The 14,592-nt window shown below is 35.6% G+C and overlaps 1 protein-coding gene across 4 annotated transcripts in view; it reads right to left on the bottom strand.

The window, feature by feature from the left end:
* Positions 1-1,486: 1,486 nt before the first annotated feature.
* Positions 1,487-14,592, bottom strand: part of ZNHIT6 (zinc finger HIT-type containing 6) — a 59,017-nt gene continuing 45,911 nt past the window's right edge. For 2 of the 4 annotated variants that reach the window (NM_001170670.2, NM_017953.4), the window contains 2 exons: positions 9,917-10,041; positions 1,487-6,168 (listed from right to left, as the gene is read on the bottom strand). In NM_001170670.2, coding sequence (NP_001164141.1) covers positions 6,128-6,168; positions 9,917-10,041 — 166 coding nt within the window. In that variant the 3' untranslated portion in view covers positions 1,487-6,127. Of the gene's footprint in view, positions 6,169-9,916; positions 10,042-14,187; positions 14,348-14,592 lie in introns of those variants that run through there. The other 2 variants (XM_024447736.2, XM_011541614.4) reach the window with 2 other exon arrangements.

The raw sequence follows: 14,592 nt of genomic DNA on the forward strand, positions 1-14,592 counted from the left end.
CAGCACACCAGCATGGCACATGTATACATATGTAACTAACCTGCATATTGTGCATATGTACCCTATAACTGTAAGTATAATAATAATAAAATAAAAAAAAAGAAAAAGCATGTGACGAAATTCAACATCCTTTCATGATAAAGACTCTCAACAAATTAGGTATGAAAGGAATGTATCTTAACATAATAAAGGCCATATGTGTTAAGGCTATAGCTAACACCATACTCAACAGTGAAAAGCTGAAATCTTTTTTTGCTAGGATCAGGAACAAGACAAGGGTCCCCACTCTCACCAGTTCTATTCAACATAGTACTGGAAGGCCTAGCCTTAGCAATCAGTCAAGAAAAATAAAAGGAATTCAAATCAGTAAGGAAGAAGCAAAATAGTATGTTTGCAGGTGACATGATATGGAAAACCCAAAAGACTCCACCAAAAACTGTTAGAACTAATACATTCAATACAGTTGTAAGATACAAAATCAATATACAAAAATCAGTTGTTTCTTTTTTTTTTTTTTTTGAGACGGAGTCTCACTCTGTCACCCAGGCTGGAGTGCAGTGGCATGATCTCGGCTCACTGCAAGCTCCGCCTCCCAGGTTCATGCCATTCTCCTGCCTCAACCTCCCGAGTACCTGGGACTACAGGCACCTGCTACCACGCCTGGCAAATTTTTTGTATTTTTAGTAGAGACGGGGTTTCACCATGTTAGCCAGGATGGTCTCGATCTCCTGAACTTGTGATCCACCTGCCTCGGCCTCCCAACGTGCTGGGATTACAGGTGTAAGCCTCTGCGCCTGGCAAAAAAAATCAGTTGTGTTTCTACATGCTAACAATAAACTGTTTGAAAAAGAAATATCAAAAACAATAGAATACTTAGAAATAAATTTAATCAAGGAAGTGAAAAATCTGTTTACTGAAACCTACAAGCCATCGATGCAAGAAGCTGAAGATACAGATAAATGGAAAGATGTACCATGTTCATGAATTGAAAGGATTTTGTTAAAATTTCCATACTACCCAAAGTAATCTACAGATCCAATGTAATCCTAATAAAAATTCCAATGCCTTTTTTTTTTTTCACAGAAATAGAAAAAGATGATTCTAAAATCTGATGGAACCACCAAGGAGCTTGAGTGGCCAAAGCAAAAAGAACAAGCTGAAGGCATCACACCACCCAACTTCAAAATATATTACAAAGCTATAGTAATCAAAACAGCATTGTTCTCCATAAAAAGACACATAGACCAAAGGAACAGATTAGATCCCAGAAATAAACCCATGCAACTATCTTTGACAAGGCTACCAAGACATAATGAGGAAAAAATAATCTCTTCAATAAATGATGCTGGGAAAACTGTATACCCACATGCAGAATGAAATTGGTCCTTGATGTTTTATGTGACTGAAGCAGTTTGAAAAGGAGAGTGAATGAGAGAGTAAGCAAGCTGTAAAATTAGGTTGGGACCAAGTCAGGGGTTACCAAATATCAGGCTGAGCTTTGGTACTTTATTTGGCAAGAAAATAAAACTGGAAATAGAATTATATAGCAGCTCATCAAATGCTAAAGGATGCATTTGGTTCTAAAGTTCAAAATGAGTACAGTACATCACACTCCAGTATGGAAAATGTTCATGTTATAGGTCATTTTAATGAACACATGCACACACACTTTAGTTTTCAAAGACCAAAGTTTAAAGAAAATACTTTTTAGTCAAGTACAGATCCCCAAAGGTTTATTTAAAGCCAATTTTTATTTAAGTAGTCTTCATTTTTGAAGCATTTTCCCCTAGTACTCTAATTTCAAAATCAGTATCTCTCAAATGCTGATGCCACTGGGAAAAATTTCCAAATTGGTAATGGAAACATATGCTATGTGCATCTGCTCAAACTAGCAACAACATGATGTCAAATAAAAATGGATGGCATTAAAAAAAAAATCCAAAAACCTATAATGGCAACTCAAAGCAGCAATAATAAGAAGAAGAGATTAAAATCTCTAGTTAAAAACAATCAAGACTTGCAGATTAAATCTGAACTTTACTCCTTCTGTTAGTACAAATCAGAAACTTCTTGCTACTCAAATTCAAACAGGGTGCAATGAATGTGTTACTTTCGTATTCCCAGTAACTACCTTTCCTCACCTGCTCCCTACATTCTGGCTTTCTTCTAAAAATTTCCCCCTCCTTTGGGTGAATTCCTCTCTTGATTAGCTCAGGAACGGAATGTGATCCAATCTGGGCAAAATAAAAGTACTTCTCCAAAATTTTACATAGCTTGCTTTATAAAAGCTTTCAGCCTTGTTATGCTAAGGTAAGCTGAAAATGTCAATTGCTGTTATCCACCATCCTCTCACCTCACTGTTCCTCATCCCATACAGAATATCCCCAAAGGGAAAATCTGAAAAGAAAACCAATCCATAAAGAAGAAAATAATCAGAGCCAAGTGTGTAGGATGGCAAGATGACTGCTTTTGACGTTTGGACCCAGGACCCAGTCATTGCCTGGACTTCCCTGTATATAAGCCAATGAACTGCCCTTCATGCTGACACTATTTTGAGTTTTTGTCACTTGCATATAAACAACACATTTTAATGCAACAGAGTACAGCTTAGTCCATTTTGTGTCGCTATAATAGAATATCTAAGACTGGGTAACTTATTTTTAAAAAGAGTTTTATTTGGCTCATGATTCTGGTGGCTGGAAGGCTCAAGATTGGGCAGCTGTATCTGGTGAGGGTCTCATGTTGCTTCCACTCTTGGTACAAAGTGAAAGGGGAGTAGGTATGTGCAAAGAGATCACATGGGAAGGCAGGAGGCAAAAAGGAGAAAATCAAGAAAGCCAGACTCTTTAGTAACCCTTGCTTGTGAGAACTAATCCATTCCCACGACAGCAAGAATGAGAACTCACTCACCCCAGTAGGAGGGCATTAGTTTATTCATGTGGGATCTATCTGCCCCCATGACCCAAACACCTTCCATTAGGCTCTGCCTCCCAACACTAGCACATGGGGAATCTAATTTCAACATGAGTTTTGGTAGGAACAAACTATATTCAAACCATAACAGTATATGATTAAATAAAAATAGACCAGCATCTTTATGTAAAATTTAGTAACATGAAATAAGGTACAACACAAAGTATATGTCAACATAATTAAACAAAAATGTATAAAGAAAATTGTTGGCATTATAGTTATGTGATTAACATTTTAATTATATGTCATGAAACCCAAATCCCACTACTTGCTACAGGGAAACAAACTGGATCAACTACATTTTGGAATCTTAAATATCTATTTTTAATAACTTTTTTTTTTTTTGAGGCAGAGTCTCATTCTGTCACCCAGGCAGTGCCCAGGAATGCAGTGGAACAATCTCAGCTCACTGCAAACTCTGCCACCAGGGTTCAAGTGATTCTCGTGCCCCAGCTTCCTGAGTAGCTGGAATTACAGGTGCCTGCCACCACGCCTGGCTAATTTTTGTATTTTTAGTAGACACAGGGTTTTGCCATGTTGGCCAGGCTAGTCTCAAACACCTGACCTTGTGATCTGCCCGCCTCAGCCTCCCAAAGTGCTGGGATTACAGCTGTGAGCCACTGTGCCTAGCCAATTCATATTTATAAAAGGAATAGGTACAAGTTTTATTTACTATAATTTATGACTATTAATCCTATATGTATAATTAGCAATTATGAAAGGCCTATCTTCTCTTTGAAATCACTGTTTAAAAAAATAAAGAAAACCAGGTGGAGCTTTTCTCCTTTTAAAATGTGATTCATGAACAAAATGCAGGATGCTGAACTTAACATGGGTCAAGGAGTTTGTTTACACACCAGAATTTGACAATAAGCTAACATGGAGAGGGCCTCCAAAAAGATATTGGGTCTCAATGCTACAAACATCTAGGGTTTTCAGTTAGTTATTCCAATTTCATTCTCTCCAAGCCATTGGTAATTCACTAAAACACACGTGTATTGTAAATCTTACGGGAAAAAATATGCATATTAATCAAATGAGTTGATAATTATATTTAGGGGAATTCTAAGAGTTATATTCTTTCCTAATAGCCTATAATTGAAAAGTCTAATAGAATTCTAGAAAATAAAGATGGCAAAGATGCATTAGATAATATAGATTTCTTTTTTTCCTCCTGAGCAGTGGAAACTACAGGATAGTTTGTTTTCTGTCCAGGTTTCAATTTAAATTCAGAAGGGGGGATGGAACTCAAGACTTTTCTTGGAAATGAGACTACATCATAACAGATTTCACTGTCAAAAAATTCCTATCCACCCTCATATTCAGATCATATTCAGATCGCAAGTTCTTTTTGTATACGTTATCCCACTTCTCCTAATAACAACACGTTTCACTCAATTCATCTATTTCTTGCTGGTTTCAAGAAGACACATTTCACTTTTGATTATAAATGAATTCCTTGAAATCTTATTTGTCTCTCCAATAATACTGTGAACAACGTAATTCTACACAAATTCTTTATCATATATTAGAAGATTCCTGATGTTGCTTTAGAGATTATAAATATATATGTATGTATGTTTCTCAAGTTGCAAGGACTCACTTTCTATGAACTTTCTATGAATCACATTCCATTAGTACTTTCATACCAAGGGTCCTTCTGGCATTATTGTTTTTCGATTCTCTTCTCCAGTTTCTACCCCAAGTTATACTTGTGTCCCACAAATTTATCTTCTGCTCATCTTCTCATTCTCTTTTCATATTTCAGATCTTTTTAAGTCTCCTTAACTAACGTCTCTGGTTTCTTTTTGGTAAAAAACTTATTCCAACTGTAACTAAAAATCAATTTCATTAATGTCCAGTTTTATCATTGCTTTTTAACCATTAAGTACACACATACAATATAGATGTAACAATCTTTTTACTCTCTTACAGTCATATTGCAGTTTCACAGTGGTATAAACTCCAATAAAATTAAGAATTTTTTTTCAGTACATGAGATCAAACTGTATACAGAGCTGCCATAACGTATAAGTTAAGCCATGTATATACATTAATACATACATATATGTTCCAATAACATGTTGAAGATTTCCCAGGTTTTTTTTTCTTTAAGTTATTGCTAGACATATCAAAACACAGTATAAAACTGGTCATCACAACACCCTTCTGCAGTAATGATGAGAGTGGGCTAGGAATGTGATGAAAGGCACAGAATTCATAAGACTTGAGTAAGTAGATCCAAATTTGTTATCACTAATGGCTCAAACAATGTGGAGCCACTGATTTTCTGAAGTGAATATAAGAAACAGTAGTTAATAGTATTTATCCAGGCTTCTAGTATAAGACATTGTACTAGGAGTTTCTCAAGTAGAAAACTTGTCTCACAAGGGTAAGTTACATAAAAACTCCAAAGAAGAAAGGGCAACTGATAGAAGATTAGTTCTCCTGTGGCTAGACGGTGCGTTGTACAGCCTTTCCGTTTAGTGAGGTTCTACTAAAGGGAATGCCAACTTTGTGGTTGACATGGGTGATCCTTGGGTTTCGTCACGCATGAAATTAACAAATAAAAAATGTTCAAGGCCAGGTGTGGTGGCTGATGCCTGTAATCCCAATGCTTTGGAGTCTGAGGTGGAAGGATTGCTTGAGGCCACAAATTTGAGACCAGCCTGGGCGAAAGAGCGCAACCCTGTCTCTACCAAAAAAAAACAACAACAAAAAACTTAGCTGAGTGTGGTGGTACCAGCCTGTTGGGAGGCTGCAGTGAGAGGACCATTCGAGCCCAGGAATTTGAGGAAGCTATGCTCATACCACTTGCACTCCAAGACCCCATCTCAAAAAAAGAAAGAAAAAAGAAAAAAAAAGTTTTCAGTTTATGGAATTAAGCAATTAAGCATATTAAAAAGCCAGGGCCTAATAAGTACTATGCTGATCAAGTGCAAAGGAGAGTTCTTAATATGAATAAATGGGTCTTACAAGTCAATTAATTCAAGAGGTTATAAAATACATTTTTTAAAAGAGTTAAGCTTATTTTTCATACAAAGAAAAAATTCCAATCACCCATTGACAATACCCCAATCAGCCAACAGCCCATCAATGCAGAGTCTGCTGCAGTTGTCTGGAAGTTTTCACTTTCTTCTTCCAGAAAAAATGCTCAATTTTCATTGCCAACGTTCTTGGTAGATTCACTCTTCACTAGAAAAAAATAAGTAAACATACAGTCAAGTGTTTATATTTTTCTGTTTAGGTTGCTCTGTCCCTCTTCTCTCCCTCCTTCTGATGTACAGCAAAAGCACTGCTCACAGGGACACACAAACCGCGTCATGTCCCAGGCAGCTAGGATATACAATTCTGGCCACAATAAATAGAGAAATGATGTCTGAAAGTGGCAATTATATTTTGTGAGGTAACATCCTTCCTGACTCTGTGGAAGACTTAGGAATGGTCACTTCACAATGTGGTTATGATCCATATTCATGCCACTGAATAGATCACTATTATCCTGGCCAGCCACTTGTGGTTAGAATAAATTTTTTCCATGATTTTTTTTTAAACTTAATTGAGGGTCAGTATATGTTGAGTGAATGTGGAGTGACAGAAGACTAGCTAATCGCCATCTCCTTCCTTTCACAGGAAAGAAGAATAGAAATGGAGCTCCTCTGACACCCCTGTCTTGCTTAGAGCAAGCAAGACTAACTATGACTCACTCACTAAACTGAGAGTTCCTGGAGGACAGAAACTCGACCTTTCTTCTCTGTATCTATCCTCACAATTTAGAGTATGTTTGCTGAATCAATGTAACTGCAAATCATTCTGCCTTTTAGTGTTTTTTCCCTAAATCTGCAAAATGGGAACCGGAGTAAGTGTTCTATTTCATGGTCTTGTGAAGCTAAAAGGAAATAATAGGTAGTAACTCTTTAAAAATTGTCATGCTAAAATATAGGTTATTTTGAGGCTTATAGCTGTTATCTCCACTGAGTAGATAAGAAAAATAAAGCTCAGAGAGGCAGAGCAAATGCTCAAGGGACCACAGCTTATAAAAGCTGATGCTAGAAGCACACACCTGGAACTGCCTCATATTCCAACTGACAAGTTCCCTGGGGTTTGCTGTTGTACCTAGACTTCAGATTGTACCAGCAACCACAATGGTGTTTACTGAGCCCTTTCTAAGAGTAAGGCACTGAAATAAGTTCCATCCAAGATATCATCCCAATCTTTGTGAAATTTTATGAACTTTAGCAGTCCATCCAGTGCCTCCATGATATTAAAAGTTTTTTTCCTTCTCTGGCTGTCTCTGTACTTCAGGTAAACTCTATTTTAGCATCTATTGTATAATAAGTTTTACATGCGTGTTCCAGTGCCAAAAATCCTCCTCTCTCTCCCTGCAAAAGGAAAAGAAAGAAAAGAGAAGTAAGGAAGAATGAGGAAAGGTGAGCGAGGGAGAATGGATGAAAGATTTACTGGCCCAATAAGAGACTGATATATGAGTAGCTGCTATGCCAGGTATTTTCACTAATTCCAGTAATCAATTTTGGGTTGGATTCCTTCTCTAAAGGCTGAGGCATTTTCTAATCTTGAGTTACACTAGAACATCAAAAAGTTTATTTTGCTGACATTTCTAAATTAATAAAGATTTTTAGCAGTATGGGACATTTTCCCCTTTCTTTGCCTATTGAAGGTGCCCAGTTTTCTTCTTTGAATAGGGTTCCATTCTTTTTTCCTTAGATTGAAATGCAGCATGCTTTTCTCCCTCATCTAAATCTGCTAGTCTAATAACAGCCTGTGAAGCAAGTTACACCATTCTGAGCACTTCCCACTGGACTGATATAAGGTAGGTAATCAGCACTTAGCATCTCCAATCTAGTGGAGTATCTAAATAGCTCTATCTTTTCCAGTTAACCTTTTCCATTACTGAAAAGCAACAAACAAACAAAATCTTGGCTACTGCTGATTAATATAGGCAGACTCAAATAATTATGGCAATCTACAATCATAACAAATATTAGAACAACCATCAGGTGTGGGAACTACTGAATCCCAGACCAGAAACACATGTACCCCCAAATTAGGAAAGAGACAACTTGTACTATAAACTCAGGATCAAAATCCAACTTTTTTACCTCCAGAGAGGGAAGGAATTTCAAGGCTTTCCAAAGAAAATGCCCTCTTCTTACATAATCCCCTTCCCTCATCAAGGTATCACCCTGCAAAATATCTGATGCTGTGAGAATGTATAAAGAAACAGACACCTTGAAGTACTTACAGAAAGAAATGCATGTACAGGAAGACCTGGGCATTACTTTTAAGGTGTGTGTACTTACGATGTGACAAAACTGGTATGGTTTTAAAATCCTGTCAGATACTTTTAGTTCTTTGCTAACACAGTTCTAAATAATCCTCTGTACTAAAAGCATGAGTCATTTGTGTTCCTGTAAATAAGTCAAACATCATATATCCACCAGAAAAATAGCAAATTTTACTCAATAAGGCTCCCAGTACGCTAGTAAAGTAGTCTTTTCTTATTGCTTCATTACAGGAAGCCTTACTTGAATGTACATTCCTAAACAAGGTGAAAGGAGAGCTGTGTGTGCTGTTTATTTATACAGAAGATGTTTGCCCTAGCTACTAACCTACATTACTAAACAACTTTTCCCAAAACCAACATTTGAGAGAGCACTGTGAATTTATTAAGAAAAAAGCAACATAATACAAAGCTTAAACAAAGTGAAACTGGCCATTTAAAACTAAAATTCCTAATTTATTCTGAGAAAAAAATTCTCAAATTGTGAAAAATATTAATGTCAAGAATAAAAATAAGATTTAGAGGCCCATAATTTATTATTAGAAACATCATGTTTGCTAACTAAAATCTGGTTTCAAGTTGTAGCACTGATACAATTTTGGCCACTTTGGAAAACAATTTTTTTCTATTAATTTTTGCAAAGAAAAAACACTACGCACAACAGAGAATACCTTACAATATAGGTTACTGCATCTTACAGCCTGTAATGCTGGTATAACAATAAAACTTAAACTACCCATTTCAAATACTACTTAAAAAATAGTATCAATCCAAGACAAAGATTCTATGCTCCTCTGGAGTTTGTTACAACAAAACCTGGCCTGTATCTGTAATTCTTTTCGTTGAAAGTGCTATGTAATAGTTTTGGATTAAGGTGGGTAATCTTCCTCACTTCTTAAAGGTAGTGACTAAATTTTACTCATCCTCTAAAATCTTGCATTCAGAAGCACAGTTAGTTTACTTTAATCAGTAGTTACAAATATAGATGAGTCATTTTATGTACTAAACTTTTATGTACATTTTTTCCAGTTCTAGTACTTCCCTATATCACAAAATCAGAGAAACAAAATCAGAGAAAATAAAACCAGTGGGTTTAGAAAAGGAGATAAAGGGTAAAGGCAATGGCATTAACTTATTCTAAATGCTGCCAAATTTTTAAATATAATGTTCCTTGCAACATTTTCTCCTTCTATAAGGTAGGATACTAGGCTTTTTTTTTTTTTTTTTAACCATTCAACATTTTCATTGTCAACTAAAAATGTTTTGTAATCCCTCATTTTAGAAATGTCTAAAGTCTTAACTATGGAGTAAATGTACGTGATCATGGACAGTTACTTAAAGACTATTAGCTTAAAAAAAGACAAAAAAATACATAGAACCCCATGCTAAAAAAAAGTCCTTTTATAGCCATTCAATTTGATTTATTCACTTAAAATTGGTTTTATAAGATTATACGCTCTTAGAAACAGAAGAGTAGCAGCATTGCATTTACCTGGTTCTTCACATTAACTAGCTATACAGTAGATCCTGTAAGTGTGTAAATATAGTGGGAAAACACATATAAAGAAATAAGGGTGGACATATTTTGCTTTGGTTTCTCTAAAGCTATTCTAAGCATTACAGAAACAAATTTACACTTACCTTGGTGAAGAACTTTCATGTCATTATTGGATCCTTTCAATACCACATGTAATGTTGGATACTCAATGATCACTTTGTTCCTCAAATTGTCTAGGAGACTTTTATAAGGATCTAGTTCATAATATCTTATTAATAAAAAAAAACAAAAAACCAGGAAACACTCTTAATATTCAAAATTACTAATAGATAAATATATGAGAGTATTTTACATTAAAAATTTTTTAAAGGTGATGACAATTCAGTAGTTACTTCCTTATAGCATAGTAAGTTTAATACCTTCTAAGAAAGGCAGGTACAAGAGCTATTATTATAGAGGTTCTAAAACTAAATAAAAAAAAATCAAATATTCTGACATTAGGAAAGCTCTAAAACAAGTTACTAATTTTCTTTTTCTTTTTTTGATATGGAGTCTCGCTTTGTTGCCCAGGCTGGAGTGCAGTGGCACAATCTCGGCTCACTGCAACCTCCATCTCCCAGGCTCAAGCGATTCTCCTGCCTCAGCCTCCCAAGTAGCTGGGACTATAGGTGCGTGCCACCATGCCTGGCTAATTTTTTTTGTATTTTTAGTAGAGACGGGGTTTCACAGTGTTAGCTAGGATGGTCTCGATCTCCTGACCTCGTAATCTGCCTGCCTTGGCCTCCCAAAGTGCTGGGATTACAGGCGTGAGCCACCATGACCAGCCTACAAGTTATCAATTTTCATACCAAGAAATAGTTAAAGACTCTTATATAATATTTATGTTGGCCGGGCACGGTGGCTCACACCTGTAATCCCAGCACTTTGGGAGGTCAAGGTGGGTGGATCACCTGAGGTTGGGAGTTTGAGACCAGCGTGACCAACATGGAGAATCCCCATCTCTACTAAAAATACAAAATTAGCTCGGCATGGTGGCACATGCCTGTAATCACAGCTACTCGGGAGGCTGAGGTGGGAGAATCGCTTGAATCCAGGAGGCGGAGGCTGCAGTAAGCCAAGATCGTGCCACTGCACTCCAGCCTGGGCAAGAAGAGTGAAACTCTGCCTCAAAAAAATAAAAAAATAAAATAATAATAATATTTATGTTGTTATTTTTCTTGAATAAAAGAATGATGAGCTAACTATTTGAATTCCTCAAATATATTTATTTTGAGCCTTAAAGACAACCAATCACCTTATGACAATTTCTAGTAACATGGCAATAAAATAACTGGTTACAAAATTGGCTTTTGGAAAAAAGTCAATTATTCTAATTATAACTGGTTTCCAGAAATTTATATTGCCATGTAAAATTTAAGAAATACAGAGTTTATCGTGACATAGCTGCCAAATGTGTCACAGGTAATTAGATGCTAATGGTCATTAAAGCATGAAATTCTCAAATCATTACTTTAAAAAAATAAGTCTGAGGTGGCTGAAAATGCATCCCCAGAACATTCATTCTTGCTTGCTTTCTGGGGTGGGAGTGAAAGGGGTGGAATTCTAGCTAGCTCACTAGCGGGTACATATGAGAATATGTTGGCATGTTAATGTCATTTCATGTCAAAGAAGAAAAAGCTGAGAACATGTCAACCAGTCTAGTGCAGAAGTTCTCCAGCATTTTTATTCATCTCTACCAATGACAGGTGATATTCACATGCAAAACACATATCTCATGAGATCCAGCCTAATGGCTGTAACTCCATCCTTTTATCTCCTGCTCAAAAAAGCACACTGGAACACAAGTGATCAAGAGTGAGGTTATCATTGGGATACATTTAAATTTGCTGTAATTTTAAGAGTAAATCATTCACAAACTTTGGTATTTCTTAATTAGTAAAAAATTATCTGCACCATAATCATAGCTGAGTAAGACATGCAGGACACTCATTAAGAAATGTGATGTAGTGATTTCTCCATGTTCTGAGTTTGTCTCACGCAATCGTTTTCAAATCAGGAAAAATATAAAAGTGCTTAACAAAATGCAGAGCCAAGCTTACTAAAGTTAGAGAACAACTGTAAAACCAAAACTTTACTTATGCTTCCCTGACCACACACCCCAGCCTGGAATTATTCTTTTTAAAATTGCAGAATATTCTTTATGTTGAAAAGAAACTTGAAATGCAAAATACTGTTTTTCTAAACCAGCCACCTTAGTGCCCACAGATCATAGAATTCATACATTCTTTTCCCTGTGTGTAATGTAATACAGATGTACTTACAATACTTTAAAAGTGTTTCCAGCATTCAAGGATTAAATGCTTCACATCTTTTAAACATTATTTCTCTTTGAAATAAGCAGTGTTTTTTTCAAAGTTAGTAGCAATTATATAAAAAAGAAAAATGAGATTATATCAGATACCCAAGTAAAAGATTAACTTACAAAGTAAAATATAAAATGGTGATAACTAAATTTTTCTTGGGAGGAAATAAGACCTGGACTCTCAAACAGGAACTTTTCAAGTGGCATCCTACAAGCACTTGGCAATAACTTATCTTCTGTGCATTTTAGCTAAATCATAAGGCTTCTAATGAAAGGCATTTTTCAAATAAGGGAATGTTTTTTACTTGTTTCAGTTTTTGGTAAATAATTTTCAGTGCATATTTAATGTTTTAGGTATCTGATTTCTTTTTGTAATATTAAATCTTAATTGGGTTTCTCTAGATTTCCAAAGCTGAAACCAAGAAGCAACAAAAAGAGTTCTTCAAAGGCCACATGAGAATCAGAGCCTAAAATTATTGCTGATATAAAATATGTTCCTAGCAGAGGAATGTTCAGAGGTACATAAAAATTACTATGCAACAAGTTAAACATGCTTTGGATCCTAAAACTGTAATGATTACACTTATTTGGATCCTGAAACTGTAATGATTACACTTATTTGGATCCTGAAACTGTAATGATTACACTTACTTGGATCCTGAAACTGTAATGATTATACTTAAAAAAACTTGGTTCCTGTTTTACATGCTAAGCAGGCACTTAAAAAGCACTAAGGATGCAAAGATTTATAAGAGGCTTGTCAACTGATAAATTATTTTAAAAATATTTTATGCAATGAAAATCTGGTATGTTGTGTGGTTTTGATTAGAATCAGTGGATTTTATTTAGTGTTTAGCCTAAAATGTTGCAAACTTCTAATCAGCAATACGCTATTGAGTGTCAGTAAGCTTCTGGGCCACAGCTTTCCAACCTGTTAAATGAAGCGTTCAGATTTCACTAAATAATCTTTTAGCTGAAATTCTGAATTTCTTAGATTTTTCTACTACAAGTGGTTACTCTTAATCTACCATTAATATTTATCAGTAATTTAAAAGTAAATTTTGTAAACTGTTCATAAAGAAAGCCTATCAGACACATATGGGGTTAATATTTTATGGACTTGGAATTTAGTTAAATGAAGCAATAACTTTTACTGGTTGTTTGGGTTTGGAGTTTAACGCTGAGTTAAAGTTCCGGCTCCATCATTCACTGGTCTGTGATCCTGGACAAGTTACTTAAGTTATTTAATCCTCAGTTTCCATGCTTGAAAATGGGGATAATGACAGTATCACTTCAGAGAGTTACTGTGAGGGCTAAATGATAAAACACAGAAACTGCTCACTCATTTATTTAAGCCCTAAGCACATGTGTTTGTTTTATATTTTTATTTACCAAAAATAACAACACTTTCCTATAGAAACTCTAGTTCAGGACAAAGTCACTGGATTTCATTAGCAGTGAACATACTGCCTTTATGTGCATTTTGCATTTTAAATGTAGCCTTACAACTTTCTGTATGACCTTCAAATCATTATTTTATTGTCACATTTACTTCCAAGAAGATAAAGGTACTTTGAATGTTTCTGTTTCCACTATCTTGAAGCAAGTTTTAAGAGCCCAGCTTTGCACTGCCTAAAACACTTAGGTTTAGCTCCTTTGCAAGCCATTAAGCTACTGAATCCTAAGGGACAGCTTTATCTTTTTGAAATTTTCACAAACTCTGGTATTTCCATTAATATAATGTCTCTGCTACCATAAGACAAACTACTTAGGTTTGGAGGAATTAAGATACTAACATTTGTCTTTTCTCTTGCCCTCTGGGACCCTTCTTAGACATTTCCTCTTGTTATTTCACTTGCTCACCCTCACAGGTTCACTGGCTGACCCTGCTCTGGGCAGCCTCATGGGCGCATTATGAGGGCAGAACGGCTCAGTGGGCCAAACAGGTGTTACAGTGACATATATAAATAAAAGTTGTCATGATAATCAAGGGTGTGCTTTTAATCTTGACTCTGTCACTAACTTTCAAAGAAACAGGCCAAGCTCTTGAACTTCTTTCTCTGTACTTTATTAGCAAATTAGTGTGCTTTAAAAAAAAAAAAAAAACCTCCTCATAACCACAAAAGACAAGTTTTTAAAGAAACGAAATCACAAACCACTTTATGTCCCATCTGATCACTGACACTCCATGGATCATCGCCCCTTCCACCTGCTAAAAAATACCAAAACTAAGTTTGAATTTCTCCAAATTTAGCAATCTAGTAGCAGGCCCTAGGCCACAGTATTTTTCCACTAAAATAAGATCATTGAATTAGGTGATCACTAAGATCCCTTCAGCTCTAAATTTCTACAATTTTTGATACTTAACTATATTTTTTCACAGTTGTATTTATTTCTCAATCTAGGTTTCTAGATTAAAAGTTCAACTAAATTATTCCAAAAAAGTTTTAATTCTTC

The sequence above is a fragment of the Homo sapiens genome, chromosome 1 (genome assembly GCF_000001405.40).
Source record: "Homo sapiens chromosome 1, GRCh38.p14 Primary Assembly".
NCBI classification, from domain to species: Eukaryota; Metazoa; Chordata; class Mammalia; order Primates; family Hominidae; genus Homo; species Homo sapiens.